The 21,769-nt window shown below is 40.3% G+C and overlaps 1 protein-coding gene across 1 annotated transcript in view; it reads left to right on the forward strand.

Annotated features, from left to right (window-relative positions):
• PDE7B (phosphodiesterase 7B) overlaps positions 1 to 21,769 on the forward strand; it is a 343,874-nt gene that overhangs the window by 299,818 nt on the left and 22,287 nt on the right. Inside the window, exons 7-8 of the mRNA NM_018945.4 lie at positions 2,557 to 2,657; positions 4,109 to 4,240. Coding sequence (NP_061818.1) covers positions 2,557 to 2,657; positions 4,109 to 4,240 — 233 coding nt within the window. The remainder of the gene's footprint in view (positions 1 to 2,556; positions 2,658 to 4,108; positions 4,241 to 21,769) is intronic.

Here is a 21,769-nt window from a genome sequence, read left to right on the forward strand (position 1 = left end):
TGACTCTCAAAAACCTAACTACTAATAGCTTACTACTGTTGACTGGAAGCCTTACCAATAATAAACAGTTAATTAACACATACTTTTTATGTTCTTTGTATTATGTATTGTATTCTTATAATAAAGTAAGATAGAGAAAAGAAAATGTTCTTTTAAAAATTACAGGGAATCCTAGCACTTTGGGAGGCGGGCGTATCACAAGGTCAGGAGTTCGAGACCAGCCTGGCCAGCACAGTGAAACCCTGTCTCTACTAAAAATACAAAAAAAAAATTAGCCAGGCTTGTTGGCAGGTGCCTGTAATCCCAGCTACTTGGGAGGCTGAGGCAGGGAGAATCACTTGAACCCGGGAGGTGGAGGTTGCAGTGAGCCGAGATTGCGCCACTGCACTCCAGCCTGGGCGACAGTGCAAGACTCTGTCTTAAAAATAAATAAATAAATAAATAAATGACAGGGAAGAGAAAATGTATTTCCTATTCATCAAGTGGATGTGGATCATCATAAAGCTCTTCATCCTTGTCATCTTCACACTGAGTAGGCTGAGGAAGAAGAGGAAGAGGAGGGGTTGGTCTTCCTGTCTCAGGGTGGCCAAGGCAGAAAGAATCTGAGTACAAGTGGACTCACGTGGTTTAAACCCATGTTCTCAAGGGTCAAGTGTAGTTATGTTTATAATAAATTATATATAAAGAAAACCATCAGGAACATACCGTTTTCAAAGAAGATACTGGTCTGCTGACATATTAACAAACCTCCAGCAGCATGCGCCTCAAATAATTTTAATCAGGACATGAGTTGTTGAAAATTTTCAATAGGCTTTTTAAAAAATAATAATAACTACCATTTATGTAGTGCCCACTATGAGCAGAGTACTTTTGGCAAGTTATTTCTAACCATTTAAACAAATCTGCAAGTAGGATATTATTATCACCATTTGTCCCATAGTTTAGGAGAGGTACAAAGAGGTTTCATTACTTGCCCAAGGCCAACAGCTAGTAAGTGGCAGAATATGAGCCCAAGCCTAGCTCTGTCGACTTGGGAGTCCACCATCTTTCCACTGAACTCCATCATTACTCTGTATCAAAAGGCAGCCTCAGTTCTTATTTAAATGTGTGCATATTCTTATTTATCTGCCAGTGAATTTTTCAGGGGACATTTCTAATCACCAAATGACTTTCCTCTGCCATTTACATGTTTCTGGCTTCTTTTTGACTTGCCACATGGCTGTACTTTGATTTTGGAGGCTGACTTAATGCCATCAGAAGAAAATAACAGGCGTGACAATAATAATGGGAGCCACAACCAGGTTTCTATGGTGCTTACATCTGCTGGAAGCTCTTCCAAGGACCTGCATATATTAATAAACACATTTAATCCTTACTCCACTTTGAGCTCAGAGCTATTGCTATCCCCATTTTACAGAGGAGGAAACTGAGGGAACTTGCAGTTAAGTAACTTGCCCAATACAGACATTAAAGTGATAGAGGGTTTAAATATAATTGTCAAATATACCTGCTGAATAAAAAGTATGTGCAACACAACAGAAATATTTGAAACCAGCCACAACATGGCTAATTTCCAGAAATCCAAATAACCTCAAGCTGATTGTATTTCAATTGATTGAGCAAAGAAATGGCCATGCATAGGGCCAAATAATTTTGATTTGTCTGAAAAGGGAGATACAGATATAGATACTTTGGACACGTGTATCTACCCAGAAAATATATAAAGAATACAAAGACTTGACAACAGAATTAACACTGTAATCCAGAGCCAGATTCATAGCAATGGGCTGAGAGAATCTGGCCACACTTGCAAATCAGGACAGTCTATACACACTGAATATATTGCATCCTAAGCATCGCCTTGGTTATGAGCTGAAGCAGGTTAGCGTCTTCCATAAAAAGCAAACCAAAATCGCCTTGCCTGTGTCTCTACTTGGTTCCAAGAGTACTCTAAGCCTTACATTAGACTGCAGGAGCATGAAAGATGATACTCTAACTTGAATAAGGTAGAAATAAATCCAAGAAGTCCACAGTTGGATCAAGGCAATACCCTGAATCTCTGCCCTAAGAGGCCCGGATTTGCTTTCATTGGTATTTGTTATTCAAGTGTTAAACCAGTCTTTGGATATCAGTATTCTGATGCTACTTGGGCTCTTTGAAGGAAACCTCATTTGTGGCATATTATTTATAAACAGCAGAAACTCAATTAAACTATAGTGTGAGATAAAGTTGTGCTTTTCCTACATATTTATTTTTCCTATGAATGACAGCCTTTATGAATGTCAGAAAGGGGGGATTTATGAAGGAGGTGAGAAATCCCAACGCTTCACAAATCCTTTTGGCCTTTCTCCCCTCTGCTGTCCATCTCTGCTCTCTGCTAAAAACAGCCTAGCAGAACTGCCAAGCTTGCAAACCACGTTTATTTTTAAAGCATCTCTATGCTGCACATTTTGGAGGCACTGATATTTTTAAGCAAAAAGCACCCACAGTAAGTCTAAGCTAGTATACCACTCCTATTTGGGTTTTAGTTGATTGAGTTATCTGTTTACCTCCCAGTCATGGTTCAAGAAGATTACCACAGCCAAAACCCGTATCACAATGCTGTTCACGCAGCCGACGTCACCCAGGCCATGCACTGCTACCTGAAAGAGCCAAAGGTAAGACAAGACCCAGCTGCCTCCTCAGCCACCTGGAAATGCCAAGGAAACTACCTGCTAGGCCCAAGTTACCCAACATATCTGAGTAACTATGTTATGTGTCATTAACAATGTGAACACAAATTATTGATATTAAGGTTCCAGTATCAGCTCTGAAAATCTTACAATGTTCACGAAAAAGGATGAGACTCATCTGAGGTTTTCTTTCATATTTTGTATATTTTTGAGGCTGTATTTGGACAAAAAAAAAAAAAAAAACTTCCTCTCTATGGCAATCTACATCTTAGATACCTTCAACAGTCCATAGAACTAGCTCCGTGCCTTAGATCTTTGCCACAAACAGCACCAGCATTGAACTTTGTTGGGAAAAGTCTCCTACTGCATGAGTTTTGATCAACAAATGGAATCAAAGCTCCTCAAGTCTGATGTTCTATTTCCTACTGAACCAACTGGATATCCCGATTCAGGGCCCAAGAAAACTTGTGAATGTCAAAGACCTCTTAGCAAGCATGTTCTGATGCAATAAACCAACCCAAAGTTAAAAATTAAAAACATTGTAATAATGCTCAATACTCAACATTCAGGCAGTCCTTAGACTGAAAGTCTGTTGGTACAAGGTACAGGATGAGTTTTCTTAAGGTTTCTGGAAAATTATATTCTAAGACTGTTGAGTTCAATCTGTTTTTAACATCCCCCTACATATGCGGATGCTTTGACAGCAACAACTAAATATTCAGATGTCAAACAGGCACTCTCAGGGCAAAGCTGGGTGGGTGCCTCATCCCTGCAACATATCCCAAGGACATTAATGGCTCTGTTTTTTAATTTCCAAGTAGTCTAAACATTGTACTATGTCATACAGTTGTATTTTTAAAGTTAGTATTGGATTCCCGTGTCTCTGCTTATTTTCCTAGCTAACCAGAAAATCACAGATTCTCATACATTCTCCCACTATTTATTACACATTGAAAAAAATGCAGATCTTGCAAGTCGGCCCACTTCTTTCAAAGTGGCAAAGATATATTAGACAGTTGAAATACACAAATGATTTTTAAGTAGGTCCATCATGTGACCAACTTTTTTCTTCATTTACACATTTCTCTAGGAGCAAGGCTGATTTCAGGCCCTGTCTTCTACCTATCCACCCAACAGCACTGTTGCCAACCAGCAATGCCATCACAACAACAAAACAAAACAGAGTGGAATAGGAAGAAGGGGATACCAGAATAATCTACACAATTTGAGTTTACCCAATATTTTCCACACAGTCCTTTCCTTTTTGCCTGTGATTTCATGTGACTATCACCTCATTTAATGCTTCAAAGGGTAAAGGTCTGGCTGATAGGCTTAAACAATGCCATGATGATTCATTGTGTTTGATTTAGCCAAAATGATTATGAGCCTATTTGTGAAAATACACCAATCAATCTCCCAATTTGTTTTTTTAACAGCTTGCCAGCTTCCTCACGCCTCTGGACATCATGCTTGGACTGCTGGCTGCAGCAGCACACGATGTGGACCACCCAGGGGTGAACCAGCCATTTTTGATAAAAACTAACCACCATCTTGCAAACCTATATCAGGTAAGGGAGCCCAACCTGGAGCCAGCCACAGTATGGTCAATCGCCTTAGGCCCGGTGCTCAAGCCTGAATCTTGCCCATGGAGAAAGCCTTGTTTTAGGGTCCTAGAAGTTCAAAGACGAATGAAACACAATCTCTGCCCTCAAAAATTTGTTCAAACTCAGATGCTCAAAATGAGCAAAATCCAAGCAAACTTAATCCCAGTTTGAAAGAGGTTTGAGGAATTAGCTCATGTCGATACAATTGTTTTTTAAAATCTCTAAAGAGTAAATACTTGTGCTGTTCTTTGTATCCAAAGACCTTACTAGAATAAAGTGAGCCGCTGTTTTTCTTTTCCCATCAGTAAATTTATTCTCTAATTCTCTGGCCTTGTCCCTGTAAGGAAAGAGAAGAGAGAATGATCCAAGTGTGTGTGTGTGTGTGTGTGTGTGTGTGTGTGTGTGTGTTTTCAGAAACAGGGTCTTGCTTTCTCACCCAGGCTGGAGTGCAATAGTGCAATCATAGCTCACTGCAGCCTGGAATTCCTGAGCTCAAACAATCCCTCCACCTCAGCCTCCCTAGTAGCTCAGACTACAGGCACGTGCCGCCACACCTGACTAATTCTGTTTTTCATAGGGACAAGGTCTCACTATGTTGCCCAGGCTAGTCTCGAACTCCTGGCCTCAAGTGATCATCCCACCTCAGCCTACCAAAACACTAGGATTACTGGCATGAGCCACCTGGGACTACAGGCATGAGCTACCATGCCCGACCGAGAAGGATCTCTTTGATTATGACTAGGGAGAAATTGGGGTATAGGTCTAGGGACCACATTCAGGATACTACCTATATCAGTCACCTGTTCAACTGGTCTTAGGATCTCTTGGAGGCTATAGATCCATGTCTTTTAAGATTTAGGGACAAAGTTGAAGGCAAAGCAATATCACATAGTACCATACAGATATCTTCAGTGTCCTATAGCTGGCTAGAAAAAAAGCTGAAACTTTTCTTAGCCAAATTGGTGCTTGTCAATACTGAAAATAAAAATTGTTTAAAAGGACTTGAAAATAATAGGAAACTTCAATTTTGTCAAAAAATTGTGATCCCTTTATTTTTGGCTATATACCATCACTATTAACTATACTAAGGAACATCAAAAAGATGAAAAAAATTTCTTTTAAAAAGTTCAGTTCAACAAACTGTTTAACTAACCTTTATTCAACACTTACTATGACCCAAACACTGTGCCAAATGCCTTTGATGTAGTATATTATTAATCTTCACAATAGCCCAGTGAGGTGAGTACTATTATCATACCTATTTTCCACAGAAAGAAGAATTGATACTTGGGAAATTTAAGTGTTTTTCCTGAAAATAAACAGATAATTAATAGAACTGGAATTAGAACTCAACTTTTTGGTTTCCAGAGCCAAAGTGCCTAAGAACTATGCATCCTGCCTCTGAAATTCATATTGATCACCTACCGTGTACCAGAAACTAACAGCTCTCCTACAATGCTCCTATTGTAGTAAGGCAGACAAGAGGGTTCTAGAAAGTGATCGAGGCCTGGTGCAGTGGTTCACACCTGTAATCTCAGCACTTTGGGAGGCTGAGGCAGGCGGATCACTTGAGGTCAGTAGTTGGACAGCCTGGCCAACACGGTGAAACCCCGTCTCTACTAAAAATACAAAAATTAGCTGGGCATCGTGGCACATGCTTGTAATCCCAGCTACTTGGGAGGCTGAGACAGGAGAATCACTTGAACCCTGGAGGCAGAGGTTGAAGTGAGCCAAGATGGCGCCACTGCACTCCAGCCTGGGCAACAGAGGGAGACTCCGTCTCAAAGAAAAAGCAAAGGAAAGAAAAGATAAGTGATCTAAAGTGTGAGAGGCTTGATAGATACTTTAAAGTATTTAGCTACAAACAAATGTGATGGGAAGATGGGGGAAGGAGAAACTGATTCTGCAGATAGTTGCAGCGGGAAAAAAAAGAACATAGAAAAAGAATGCTATAAACTGGGCCTTAAAGTGTGAGTAACATTAATAGCTGAGATGAAAAGAGGGCATTAGAGTCAGGATGAGCTGATGTACTTTTGGGATTAAATTCCACAACTCCAGAATAACTGAAAATGGAATGTCCGGTGGCCTTTAGCTGAGTATGGTCCTGCCATCTACAGCTCCGTCTCTGATCAGTGTGTTGTGCATATCATGATTCAGTGCATACGCTCTCTTTTGTAGTAACTTCAGATTAGTTGTACAGGACATGACCTGGATCAAGAAATCTTTACTCTGCATTAAGTTATAGATGAGGAACTGGCAGAAATCTTCAAGTTTTCAGTATCAAAGGAAAAAATCACGTTACATAATATATAAGCTGAGCAAACCCATTAACGACACATGGTATTTAAAAATCTTTGGAAATGTAGCCTTTTAGCCTCTCAAGGGCCCGTTTGCTGAGACACAAATGGGCTTTCAGGGAGCTATTTGCAAATTTTCATAGGATGTTTGCATGCACATTTTCCTAGGGAGAGGGTCTATAAGTTACTCTTATCAAATTTTAAAATAAGTTGCAGATTCTGAAAATGTTAAGAACCATGGTAATGAATGAAAAAAATATATGTACATATACGCACAAAAATTATGCATGCGCACATGCACATTTGGTCAACAAGAATACCGTAGAGAGGATGTGCCAGGAATTATGTGGCTTGGGGAACACCCTGTGCGTGACTTTGCCACAATCCAGACTTACTATAAATGAGATAAAATGGAAGAGGGCTTCCTCTCCCTCCTTCTGTTGGCTGTGCTCTTTTAGTTCTAATAAATAAGAGGATCATTGCATAACATCCAGCCTGTTATTCTACCCTGAGATAAAGAGAGAGCAGGGCAGCTGGAGTGAAGGCCAGGTCAGAGGGCTCCCTCCCATGGTCTGTTCTCTGGGCCGGACTCACTCGCTGAACTGCCAACCAAGTTCAATATGAAGGCACTGAAGGCACTTCTACTTGGCACCTCTCTCATCAGACTGGAAGCAGTCCAGGTGTCCAGGGTGGACTGGGAGGAAAAACAGCATGTGAGAAATAGAACCAAGAATTTACTTTCTGTTCCTTCACCCTCCAACCCCACACATACAAATTTAATGGTGGGCTTAGCAACTGTGCAAAGTAAGCATTAAGTTACATACAACGTTGGTGATTATAAATTGTAAAGGAATAACTTTCAGTTCAATTTTAAATTCAACTCCTTTCAATAGAGTCCAACAACATGGACTCTATCATTTACTCATGACACAGCATCCTTAAAATAATGACTTTAAAAAATTGTCCCATAAACATTTATTACACTCTATAATGTCTTGCAGAAGTTTATAATCAGCTTTCTTAGTCATTTATCACAAGCACTTAGAGGGGGGTCAGCATTTTGAACCACTTGTTATTCTTAATGAGTCTGAATCACAAACATGAAGTTGACCCAGCCAGGAGGAATATTCCTTCCACGTGGTCCTATGACCCCACCCCGTCCTCAAACAAACATCTGCAAAGACTAACATAAGCTCACAATTTCTACAGTATGAAAGGTGTTTTTGGAAAGTAGTGCTAAAATTATAAAAGGAGCCTCAAATTTGACTTTCTGTTCCATAAAGTTTCTGCCATCCCCAATCTGAACCCCAGCCTTCCCTGCAGACAGCAATTGGCATCCCCGCTCCCTTCTCTCAGCTATCTTAGGCAGATGCAGAACAAACAAGAGAAAGACATCTTCAAACAGGCATTAAACAAGGCAGTGCTATCGTTTCTTCAAGGGCCAAGGTCTTGTTTAGGGCTCAAGGAGCTTCTATTCCACTGAGACCTCCTAGGCTGGGGCTCTCATAGTGTTACCAAGGAGACCATTGGCTTGTTAGGGAAGAACTCAGCAGCCTCCATTATCTCCTAAAGTCTTGCACCTTGTTTCATGAGCAATTAAAAATGAAAACACAGACAATGTTCCTGTTGTTTTTCTTTCTGTATCCTCCGGATTTAAAATGTTCAATTAACTCTGGTTCCTGGTACCCCAGATTCAGTTTATCATCATCATTTGAAGTATTTTAATCAAAGAAAGTGTCCAACAAATAGAGGAAAAAAACAGTTTAAATCTGCCTTGTATGATAGCAACTCTGCTCTGCCAGATTCTGTTTGCCAAATACCCTCTTGACTTAATTTGAAAACCTGTGTTGGTGGTGTATTAAAGACCAGGTGTGCTATTAGCAAACAAAGGGATTGTTTTGTTTTTAGGGTGAAAAATACTTGATAATTCAGGCACAAAGGGAAACGAAGGTTTTGCCTTAGAAGTTGGAAGGGTTTTGTTTTTTTCAAATTAAAGTTCTAATAGGTTTTGTTGTCACAAAGGTAGATGCTTACTCCTTCAACTTTAAGATGAAGATTACTCTTAAAACTGCAAGTAGGAAGGGTTTGAGCCACTAGAACACATTGTCATCAGGATAATGTGAAATTACTGAACCGATACTTCTTAAAGATAGACAGACATAGTACCTGATGTGGTATTCTAGAACCGGTTAGGGTTTCAAAGGATATTAAATGGTATCCTCTCACCACATGTTTAGATCTCCATGACCATTTCTGATGCTTTTCTTCTTTTTCTCAGTCTACCTTTGGTTGATACGAGTCACTGAGCCTCTGTGAAAGATGAGTCTGTAGGAGTAGAGCTGCTTTTTGCTAGGGAGGATACAGCATTCTTATCTCTGGCAAGTCACTAAGAAACCCCAGTGTATGCAAGCCTGCTCGCCACCCTTTGCCTCTCCCCTAGGTTCAGGGCACACCAGCATCATCCTCTCATCCACCTACTCTCAGCCTTGCCTGGTTTCAGCCCTTTTTCCACTATGAAGACAGAAAGAGTTTCCTGAAACTCAAATCTGACCACATCGATTCCTGCTTAAAACCCTACCATGCCTCAGGATTGAGTCCAAATGACTTAACACAATTTACCATCCCCGTTCTGATCTGACCCCTGCCAGTCCTTCCAGCCTCACTTCCCACCATTCCCCTCCCAGGCTTCTATGCATTGAGGCTGAACTTCCAGTTTCCCAAACATATCACTCAATTCTTTATCCATTCAGCAGATACATACGGAGTGCTGAATACATGCTAGGTGCAGGAGTATAGAAGATGAACAAAACAAATAAAAAAGTCTGCTTTTTTCTAAGGGAAACAGAAAATAAGTAAAATATGTCCTCTATTAGAAAGTGATAATTCATAGATAAAAACAAAACAAGATAAAGATATAAAGTATCCCTCTTGCTTACAGATCTTCACACCCATGCTCTTCCTTCTGCCTATTTGAATAAAATGTAGTATTCCATGGTATATTTTACTCAAATATAATATACAATAGAGTATGTTGTCTGTACTCTCTAATTCCTCTCTTACTTGCTCATCCTTTTGATCTAAATTTGGACATATTTCCCTCCTGAAAGTCTTCTTTTTCTCTAAAAATCCATCTTACAAGCCCCTCCTATGAGATTTTCCAGTACTCTCTTACTTCCCTTATCACAGTATGTGTCACTCGAATCGCTATTGCCTGATTAGATGTCCACTTCCCAGACAGATAGTACATTTTTGGTCACCTAACTCATTCACTGTGATATCCTCAATACCGAGAACAGTTCTGATGTCCAGGGAATATTTAATAGCTTCTCCTGCTTATTATTGCAGTCTTACTAAGAATACACAGAGAGTACACCATGCAGAAGGAGTAGCAATGATTAAAAATTCTTGGAATGATCTTCTCATTGCATCTTGGAATTGACAAATGCAAGCTGATACATGTTATTTCTTGAGTCCTTTACCTAATCTTGGTTGTCTGCAAATGAGTAGTGGGAGGGAACCCATTGCAGTAATAATTTTAAAATTTCTTTGGATTTTACCTAAGTCTAAGGATTTCACTACACAAGATCCTAAATCTGGCTTCTATCAGATATTGACCAAAAATTCAAATAGGACTCTTTTTCTTTTAACAGTTCTTTTAACTTTTGTAGCTACTGAACTTTGGGGTTTGGGGTATCAATTACTCAGTACCCATTCAACAAATATTTACCTATTTAAGTGGCACTGTGCCCCATACCATGGCACAAAGATGAATACAATACGCTCCCTGCCCTCAATAGCAGTCACGTAGGGCCACAGTTTTCACACAGGGTATGTGTGCCCATGGGGATATGTGAAGACTTTCCAAGGGGTACACAGGCATAAATAGTGTTAACAGAATCCATTTTTAGGTCCTTAAACTGACTTGCCTGGAATGTGCTTGCGGGGCAGTGAAGCCAGTTCCACTTTTCCACTTAACTTTCACAGTCACCCTGTTTCCACTTTACAAAAGACAGACACATGTCTGACTCATTCTAAGTTATATTTCATACTGACCTAGGTATAAAAATAGCAAGCAACTATATTAGTCCATACTCAACGCTGCTATAAGGACACATCTGAGACTGGGTAATTTAAAAAGGAGAGAGGTTTAATTGACTCACAGTTCTGCAGGGCTGGGGAGGCCTCAGGAAGCTTACAATCATAGCAGAAGGGGAAGCAAACACGTCCTTCTTCACATGGTGACAGGAAGGAGAAGTGCTGAGCAAAAGGGAAAAAAAACCCTTATAAAACCATCAGATGTAATGAGAACTCATGCACTATCATGAGAACAGCATGGGGGACCACCCCCATGATTCAGTTACCTCCCATCAGGCCCCTCCCATCACATGTAGGGCTTATGGGAACTACAATTCAAGTTGAGAATTGGATAGGAACACAGCCACATATCATTCTGCCCCCAGCCCCTCCCAAATCTCATGTCCTCACATTTCAAAACACAGTCATGCCTTTCCAACATTCCCCAAAGTTTTAACTCATTCCAGCATTAACCCAAAAGTCCAAGTCCATAGTCTCATCTGAGATAAAGCAAGTCCCTTTTACCTAGGAGCCTGTAAAATAAAAGCAAGTTAGTTACTTCCTAGATACAATGGGGTCACAGGCATTGGGTAAATACACCCATTCCAAATGGGAGAAATTGGCCAAAACAAAAGGGTTACAGGCCCCATGCAAGTCCAAAATCCAATAGGGCAGTCATTAAACCTTCAAGTTCCAAAATGATCTCCTTTGACTCTGTGTCTCACATCTAGGTCACACCTGATGCTGGGCTCCCATGCCTTGGGCAGCTCCATTCCTGTGGCCTTGCAGGGTACAACCCCCTTCCCAGCTGCTTTCATGGGATGGCATTGAGTGTCTGTGGCTTTTCCAGGTACACAGGTGCAAGCTATAGGTGGATCTACCATTCTGGGGTCTGGAAGACAGTGGCCCTCTTCTCACAGCTCCACTAGACAGTGTACCAGTGGGGACTCTGTGTGGGAGCTCCAATCCTACATTTCTCTTCTGCACTGCCCTAGCAGAGGTTTTCCATGAGGGTTCTGCCCCTACAGAAACTCATGCCTGGACATACAGGCATTTCTGTACATCCTTTGAAATCTAGGTGGAGGTTCTCAAACCTCAATTCTTGACTTCTGTGCACCCACAAACTCAACACCATGTGGAAGTCACTAAGGCTTGGGGTTGCACCTTCTGAAGCAATGGCCTGAGCTACACTTTGGCCCCTTTTAGCCACGGCTGGAGCTGAAACAGCTGGGATGCAGGGCGCCATGTCCCAAGGCTGCACAGAGCTGGGGGCCCTAGGCCCTGGCCCAGGAAACCATTTTTACCTCCCTAGGCCTCCAGGCCTGTGATGGTTCGGGCTGCCATGGAGGTCTTAGACATGCCTTGGAGACATTTACCCCATTGTCTTGGTGATTAACATTTGGCTTGTTACTTATGCAAATTTCTGCAGCTGGCTTGAATTTCTCCCCAGAAAATGGGTTTTTCTTTTCTATTACATCATCAGCCTACACATTTTCCAAACTTTTTTGCTCTGCTTCCCTTTGAATGCTTTGCCATTTAGGAATTTCTTCTATCAGATACCCTAAATCATCTCTCTCAAGTTCAAAGTTCCACTGATCTCTAGAACAGGGGCAAAATGCCACCAGTCTCTTTGCTAAAGCATAGCAAGAGTCACTTTTATTCCAGTTCCCAACAAGTTCTTCATCTCCATATGAGAGCACCTAAGCCTAGACTTTATTGTCCATATCACTATCAGCATTTTGGGCAAAGCCATACAACAAGTCTCTAGGAAGTTCCAAACTTTCCCACATTTCCTGTCTTCTTCTGAGCCCTCCAAACTGTTCTAACATCTGCCTGTTCCCCAGTTCCAAAGTCACTTCCACATTTTCAGGTATCTGTATGGCAGCACCCAAATCTCAGTACTGTATTAGTCCATTCTCATGTTGCTATAAGGACATACCCCAGACTGGGTAATTTATAAAGGAAAGAGGTTTAATTGACTCACAGTTCTACAGTGCTGGGGAGGCCTCAGGAAACTTACCATCATAGCAGAAGGAGAGGCAAACACATCCTTCTTCACATGGTGGCAGGAAGGAGAAGTGCCAAGCCAAGGGGATAAAGCCCCTTATAAAGCCATCAGATCTCATGAGAACTCACTCACTATCATGAGAACAGGTTGGGGGACCACCACCATGATTCAATTACCTCTCACCGGGTCCCTCCTGTCACATGTATGGATTATAGGAACTACAATTCAAGATGAGATTTGGATGGGGACACAGCCAAACCATATCAAGAGCAATTAAAAATATTAAAGGAAGTCTCCTGTAACTGAGATATGATAACTCCCCCATCCATCTCATAAACAGACACACGGCCAATAAATTATTATTCTTGAGCATAATTATTCTTTCCAAATTTGCAATAAACATGTGTTTTGACCAATGAGTTTCTGGTAAGGATTATACTATAAACTCAAGCTGGAAAAGTATTTAGTACTTAGAGCCTGATGTTAGGAAATTTTTTTAAAATCAAATTTCAATTTAGACTTTCATTGCAGAGAAATATGATAGGATGACAATAAAAGATTTTCACATATAAAATTATATTACATTAAAATAAAAATCTACAGAGAAATAGAATGAAAATACAAACTCTAGAGGGAAAAGAATTTAATATTTCTGACTTAAATAATAAGTTAAATTATTCATGTGGATTTTTTTCAATGGGTGCTGAATGGGCATTAAATGCCATTGTTATTAGGTTCCCTTAGACACATTTAATACCCAGAAGAGTGATATAGTAAGTTTATATTAAACTACCAACATTCACTAATACACTGGACATTACATCTTTTGTAACCACTTATATTTATGATTTTTGAAAGTTTAGATATCAACTCTGAAAAGTGTGAGGAAAGTATAGTTTTTCAAAATTCACTGAATGAGCAGACCACTGACATGTGGGAGCAAGGCCAGTGAACAAAGTTGTTATAAGGTGTTGTAGACACTAGGATAGAAGTTTCCTGTGGGTGTAGAAGGTCTGGAAGAGGAAGCTGTCAGTTCTGTTGAGAGAACCAAGAAAGGCTTTCCAAGCAGATCAATGATTTGTCTCAGAAATAAGTAGATAAGGTCGTGTGTGTGTGTATGTGTGTTTCCAACTTTATTAAGGAGATTCTCCTCACTCTTTTTTGGAGTTATGTAATCCTTTATTATCATTTCCTATGCCCAAACCAAGCCTTATTATAAATCAAGACATTGAAAAGGCCCTCTCTCATTAGCTCTTTCAGGATGACATGGGAGACAAATTAACTTTAAATCAACTTGGTGTATTTGTGATTTAAACAAGATAGAAGTTTATTCCTAACCTTCATAAAAGTTGGGCAGTTGGAAGTCCAAGGAAGGCACAATAGCTCCACAAAACATTAGAGACCCAGGATTCTTTTAGTTCTACAATCTGTCATCTCTTGGTAGGGCACTTGTCCTCCTCACCCAAGGTATCTGCTGGAGGTCAAACCATTCCTGCTGCATTCCAGTGAGAAGATAGAATGGGGAAAAGCAAAAGAAACCTCTCTCAGATGACTCCACCTTTGGTTTAAACAACCTTCCTGGAAATCCCACGCAACACTTCTGCTAACATTTAGTAGATCAGAACTTCATCAAATGATCCCACCTAGTTATAAAGGAGGCTGAGAAATGCTGTCTTTCTTCTGAATAGCCATAAGCCCATTTAAAAACTGAGGTTCTGTGAGTAAGGAAGAAAGGAAATCAGAAAAATGGGATGAACAAACAGGAGTCTCTGTCATACGTGATGCTTAATCTTAAACCTAAGGCCATCAAAATGATGACTTGGTGTGATCCTTCCCTTTATGTAACATTCTTCCTCTAACCCACCAATTACTACAGCACTTACATGACCATTGTGTTTTCCTTTTATTGTTGTTACTGCTTAGGTTATTTGATATCCCCACTGTGCTGCCATGTGTCTAATGGCACCTCAAACTCCACATGTCCCACACTGAACTCTACACCTGCTCCACTGCAGCTTTCCCGTCACGATTAATGGGCACTCCATCCTTCTGTGCTCATACCAGAAACAATGGAATCATCCTGCAGACCCAGAAATCAACCACCTCTGATGCTACCTCCCCCATCCACATCTCCATCACCTCTTACCTGGATGAGTGCTATTGTCCCAAACAGCCTTCCACTTGTATATTAGTTCCTTCTCACATTGCTATAAAGAAATACCTGCAACTGGATAATTTATAAAGAGGTTTAATTGGCTTATTGTTCCACAAGATGTACAGGAAGCATGATGCTGGCATCTGCTTGGCTTCTGGGGAGACCTTAGGAAATTTACAGTCATGGCAGATGGCAAAGAGAGTAGGCACCTCACACGGCTAGAGCAGGAGCAAGAGAGAGAGTGAGGGCAAGGTGCTACACACTTTTAAACAAGCAGATCTCATAAGAACTCACTACCACAAGAACAGCATCAAGGGGATGGTGCCAAATCATTCATGAGAAACCACACTCATAATCCAATCCCCTCCCACCAGGCCTCACCTCCACTATTGGGGATTACAATTGAACATGAGATTTGGCTGGGGACACAGATACAAACCATTTCAACCTGTTTCTCCCCTTACCCCTACCAAAGTCTGTTGTCAACATACACCAAAAGTGGCCTTATTTCAATGTAAGTCATAATTTTACTCCTCCCAAACCCTTGCAGTGGCTCCTTATTTCTCTCAAAGTAAAAACCAAAATGTTTGTAATTGCCAGAAGGCTGTGCCTGGTCTGGTGTCTCATGACCTCACTGACTTCATGTCTTCATACTTCCCCTCTCTCGCTGTGCATTGACCTCACAGCTGTTAGCTCCTCCCTTGAGGCCTTTGCTCCAGCTGTTCTCTTTAGAATGCTCTTCCCCAGGCAGGAATGACTAACTCCCTCCTGCCTTCAAGCTTTTGCTCAAATCTCACATTTCCCCATGACTACCTTACCAGCCCTGACTATATCTGAAAGTGGGGACTCTCAGATGCCCACTATTCTGCTCTTCTCTCCATGCATTTACTATCTTCTAACATGCTATCCAACTCTTTCCAGCATGAAAGTATTTATTATGTTTATTGTTTATTGCCTGTCTCTCCCCATCTGATATGGTTTGGCTGTGTCCCCACCCAAATCTCATCTTAAATTCTGTGTCATGGGGGGGAACAGTGGGAGGTAACTGAATCATGGGGGCAGGTCTTTCCCATGCCCTTCTTGTGATAATAAGTCTCACAAGATCTGATGGTTTCATAAAGGGGAGGTTTCCTGCACAAGCTCTCTCTCTTCACCTGCTACCATCCATGTAAGATGTGACTTGCTCCTCCTTGCCTTCCACCATGATTGTAAGGCTTCCCCAGCCATGTGGAACTGTAAGTCCATTGAACCTCTTTCTTTGGTAAATTGCCCAGTCTTGGGTATGTCTTTATCAGTAGCATGAAAACGGACTAATATACCATCTCTACCACCACTAGTTTCTTGTCTGTTTTGTTCACTGATGTATTCCAAGCACATATCACAGTGCCTAGAACATAGTAAGTGCTCAATATATTTGTTGAATGAAATCAAGTAATTTGTTCTCTTACTTAGCAAATTTATAGAAACTCTGTGTGAGGCATAGATTTGAGTGGATACAAAAGGAACAAGGTCGGCTGCCTACTCATACCTAGCTTATAATGTAGTAAAAGATAAAGAACTCTAATAGACATCAATGGGACTGAGTTTAATAGGACACAGGACTTCCGGAATGCCAGAGAAAAATTCAAAATGAGTATAAGACTCAGAAGAAAGCACATTTGCCTTTGCCTGGAATGATTGCAGATGGCCTTGTGGAGTATTTGAAGTGAACTTTGAAAGACAGGGGCTGGTTTGATAAGTGAACATAGAGAAAGAGGTGTTTGCAGATAATAAACCACCTTGGAAGGTATTAGGGTTAGCAAAAGGAAAGGACACCATCATATATTAATAATTTAATATTTATGTAAGTTATAGTCTTGCTAACATGATATTTATTTGGACTATAAGAGCTTTGTTGGAAAGGAGAGGTAAAGGTATTGAGTTATCTCAAACATTTAGGAACAAAGTGATATTTGGGACAATTTCATAAAGCATTGAACGTCAAGCTAAGGAATTTGACTTAATTTGTCTTACAGGGATCCGTTGTGGGGTTTGGAACAGGGAACTGGGGCAGGTGGATAGCATGATCATACCAGAGGCCAGCAAGCTCCTTGAGAGCAGAGATTTTGTCTTATTTATCCTTGGATCCCCAGTGCACACCACAGAACCTGGCATATTAGTGGGTGATTGATAAATATTTTTGTTTCAACCAGTGATTAGGGAGAATGTAAAAAATTTTGTCAAATAAACAGGTCACATTCTGGCAGCTGTAAGGAGGATGACTTGAAGAAAAACAATGAAAAAGGATGGTAAAACTCTGAAATAGGGTGGCTTCTATGAAAGGAATGATTGGGCACAAGTGACACTATGTAGGAAAAACCAAAAGGATTCAGACACTGATTGCAGATGAGGGTTGAGAGTGAACAATGAGTTCTCCCCCAAGACGACCTAAATCTACTCAATCATTATTCAAACCACAAGATTTTTAGCAATAGAACCAGATTCAGAGGTAAATGCAAGAATTCCAATGTGGGTTTAGAAACTAACATCTAATTAGAACAATCAACCTTAGTTTTTTTTGAGCAACAACTATAGGTAATTTTGGCAAATTCAGTATAATTCCAGGTATTTATCAGCTTGTAAATTTCAGGCTTCTGATGCTTGGATGTGGTAGCACAGAGAAAATTCTTGGGAGGCAGCAAGGGCTGTATGCAGAGCTTAGGTTTGAGTCTGCAGGCATAAGTGAGGCCTTCCTCAGCTACTCACTAGCTCTGTGGCCTCCCTAAGAAACCTGAGTTTTTTATGACCTATGAATTCATGATCAAAATAGTGGAGGGGTATGTGAGATTTAGATGAGGGCATGGAAAGTGCCTGGCACAGAGTTGGTGTTTGATAAATGTTAGTCTCTCCTCTCTATGCTGTTCTTCTTTTCTTAGTCTCTGGAATCCACCATGGTGCCCCTATTTCCACCGCGGTTCTGGCCAAAACATGCTTTCATGCATAATGACTCTTCCACAAAGGCTGTGTTTGCAATCATCTACTCTATTGTCTTTTAATCTGTACCAGCTTCCAAGCTAACCCAATTTTCTAGCATTTCCCTGGTGCTCATCTCCAAATACAGTTTCACCAGCAAATTTCCTAAGTATCCTTTTATTCTGTCTTCAGGAAGATTATTAATGAAGATGTTAAGTCAGGCTGGCATACATCACCATGCTTAAGGCCATCTTCCAGACATTTTTGTTCCACTACATGGGGATATGGTGTCATTTATCATTAGATCTTGTTACAGCTTTCTGGCCCTTGAAAAACTCATGGGAGGGCACTCATGTCCACATCTACTTGAATTAGTCTTGCAAGTGAACACGTGAGCGACTGAATTAAATGTCATCACAGGATTGAACATCTGTTACATCACACTAATCTATCACTCTTCTCTCCTAAATCTTTTCAATCAAAACAAATTAGTCTAGCATGTGATTTTCAATCAGCCTTCTCTTTTGTTGTGTGTAGCTCATGCCCAAAAGGAAATAATAGACCAGTTGATAAAAGTAACAAAATTTCATTACTGCTTCAAACATGGTCAAGTGGTAAATAAAGAATAATGACTCCTTGGCAATTAGTGAAATGAATAGCAATAGGACAGACTCTACAGAAGATGGATATGAGACTCAGTCAGCCTCATGAAACTTACCTCATAACAAAGCCTTGGAGATAAATGAGTGTGTGGTTTTAGAATCAAGAATAGTTTTAGAATCAAGAATAGTTGCAGCTTTCCTGACTTGTGTTTTCCTAATGGAGCATTGATTGTGTCACTAACAAGAGATTCTCCTTCCTCATTTGCTGAAAAAGTTGAACATCGTATGGGTGGCTCAGATACAGTAGGGGCATAATATAATGGGATGGTTTTTAGCCGCACTTCTGACTCCATTTCGTCACCAAATTATTTTCCTTGCTTCTTTTCCCTTACTTTTTGTTTAATTGTGGTAAAATACATGTAATATAAAATTTACCATCCTAACCATTTTGAAGTGTACAATTCAGTGGTATTAAGCACATTCATAATGTGCAATCATCACCACTACCCAACTCTAGAACTCTTTTCATCTTGTAAAACTAAACCCTGTGCCCATTAAACAATAATTCCCTGTTCCTCCCTCCCCTTAGTCCCTGGCAACCACCCATTCTACTTTCTGTCTCTAAGACTGTGGCTACTCTAGGTACCTCATACACATGAAATTATACAGTGTCTCTCACTTTTTATTGAATGTTATTGTCTTAGTCCATTTTCTGTTGCTTATAACAGAATACCTGAAACTGAGTAATTTACAAGGAAGCAAAATTTATTTCTTACAGTTATGGAAGCTATGAAAGTCAAGATAGAGGGGGCTGTACCTTGGTGAGAGTCTTCTTACTAGCGGAAACTCTGTACGGAGTCCTGAGGCATCTCATGGCATCAGAGAGGGGGCTGAGCATGCACAAGTGTTAGCTCTTCTCTCTTCCTCTCTTATAAAGCTACCAGTTTATCTTCCATGATAACCCATTAATCCATTAATCCATTAATAGATTACTCCACAATCCAATCACCTCTTAAAGGCCCCACCTCTCAATACTGTCACATTGTGGATTAAGTTTCAACGTGTGTTTTGGAGGGGACATTCAAACCATAGCAACTATCCTTTTATATGTTTTGTAAGATTATAACTACTCTTGAAACCAAATGGAGACTGAATAAACAAAATATTGCCTGAGGTCAAGAGGAGTTCTATTCTGTATCTATGAAGTCAATGGTACAGACATAATGTTTCCTAATTAGAACAAAACACAATTGAGTATAAGAAATATTCATCATTTAAATGGTTAATTGTTCAGATAAAAAGCATATTCAAAATAACAGGTCAAGGGAGAGATTGAATATAACACAGGTTCCCTCAAGGACAGGAATGTTAAGATAATTGAGCAAGGAAGCAATTGTAGATTCCAACTCACAGATTTAATCAGCTAAATGCCAAGGTGCTGGTCACAAAGATTACCGGCAGAGCTGCCTGCAAGGTAATGGTTCTCAAACCTTAGTGTACATATGAATTTATTACCACAAGCCTATCAAATCAGAACCATAATGACTGCGACTCAGGAGTCTGAATGTGTCACCAGCTACCCTGGTGGTTTGGGCTTAGGAGGTTCTTATCAGCGTTGAGAAATGATGGTCAGTGCAGTAGATTAGACCAGAGATTGTGAGGCTTGCCTCCATTCAGTTTGCTAGTATAATCTTGGATTATGTTATGACTATAGTGACATGGTATCCATTACTACCTATTTCACTGCTTCACTTTTTTTTTATTATTATTATACTTTAAGTTTTAGGGTACATGTGCACAATGTGCAGGTTAGTTACATATGTATACATGTGCCATGCTGGTGTGCTGCACCCATTAACTCGTCACTTAGCATTAGGTATATCTCCTAAAGCTATCCCTCCCCCCTCCCCCGACCCCACAACAGGCCCTGGTGTGTGATGTTCCCCTTCCTGTGTCCATGTGTTCTCATTGTTCAATTCCCACCTATGAGTGAGAATATGCAGTGTTTGGTTTTTTGTTCTTGCGATAGTTTACTGAGAATGATGATTTCCAATTTCACCCATGTCCCTACAAAGGACATGAACTCATCATTTTTTATGGCTGCATAGTATTCCATGGTGTATATGTGCCACATTTTCTTAATCCAGTCTATCATTGTTGGACATTTGGGTTGGTTCCAAGTCTTTGCTATTGTGAATAGTGCTGCTATAAACATACGTGTGCATGTGTCTTTATAGCAGCATGATTTGTAGTCCTTTGGGTACATACCCAGTAATGGGATGGCTGTGTCAAATGGTATTTCTAGTTCTAGATCCTTGAGGAATCGCCACACTGACTTCCACAAGGGTTGAACTAGTTTACAGTCCCACCAACAGTGTAAAAGTGTTCCTATTTCTCCACACCCTCTCCAGCACCTGTTGTTTCCTGACTTTTTAATGATTGCCATTCTAACTGGTGTGAGATGGTATCTCACTGTGGTTTTGATTTGCATTTCTCTGATGGCCAGTGATGGTGAGCATTTATTCATGTGTTTTTTGGCTGCATAAATGTCTTCCTTTGAGACATGTCTGTTCATGTCCTTCGCCCACTTTTTAATGGGGTTATTTTTTTCTTGTAAATTTGTTTGAGTTCATTGTAGATTCTGGATATTAGCCCTTTGTCAGATGAGTAGGTTTTGAAAATTTTCTCCCATTTTGTAGGTTGCCTGTTCACTCTGATGGTAGTTTCTTTTGCTGTGCAGAAGCTCTTTAGTTTAATTAGATCCCATTTGTCAATTTTGGCTTTTGTTGCCATTGCTTTTGGTGTTTTAGACATGAAGTCCTTGCCCATGCCTATGTCCTGAATGGTATTGCCTAGGTTTTCTTCTAGGGTTTTTATGGTTTTAGGTCTAACGTTTAAGTCTTTAATCCATCTTGAATTAATTTTTGTATAAGGTGTAAGGAAGGGAAAAATCACAAGCATTCTTATACACCAATAACAGACAAACAGAGAGCCAAATCTTGAGTGAACTCCCATTCACAATTGCTTCAAAGAGAATAAAATACCTAGGAATCCAACTTACAAGGGACGTGAAGGACCTCTTCAAGGAGAACTACAAACCACTGCTCAATGAAATAAAAGAGGATACAAACAAATGGAAGAACATTCCATGCTCATGGGTAGGAAGAATCAATATCATGAAAATGGCCATACTGCCCAAGGTAATTTATAGATTCAATGCCATCCCCATCAAACTACCAATGACTTTCTTCACAGAATTGGAAAAAACTACTTTAAAGTTCATATCGAACCAAAAAGAGCCCGCATTGCCAAGTCAATCCTAAGCCAAAAGAACAAAGCTGGAGGCATCATGCTACCTGACTTCAAAATATACTACAAGGCTACAGTAACCAAAACAGCATGGTA

The sequence above is a fragment of the Homo sapiens genome, chromosome 6 (assembly GCF_000001405.40).
Source record: "Homo sapiens chromosome 6, GRCh38.p14 Primary Assembly".
Lineage (NCBI taxonomy): Eukaryota > Metazoa > Chordata > Mammalia > Primates > Hominidae > Homo > Homo sapiens.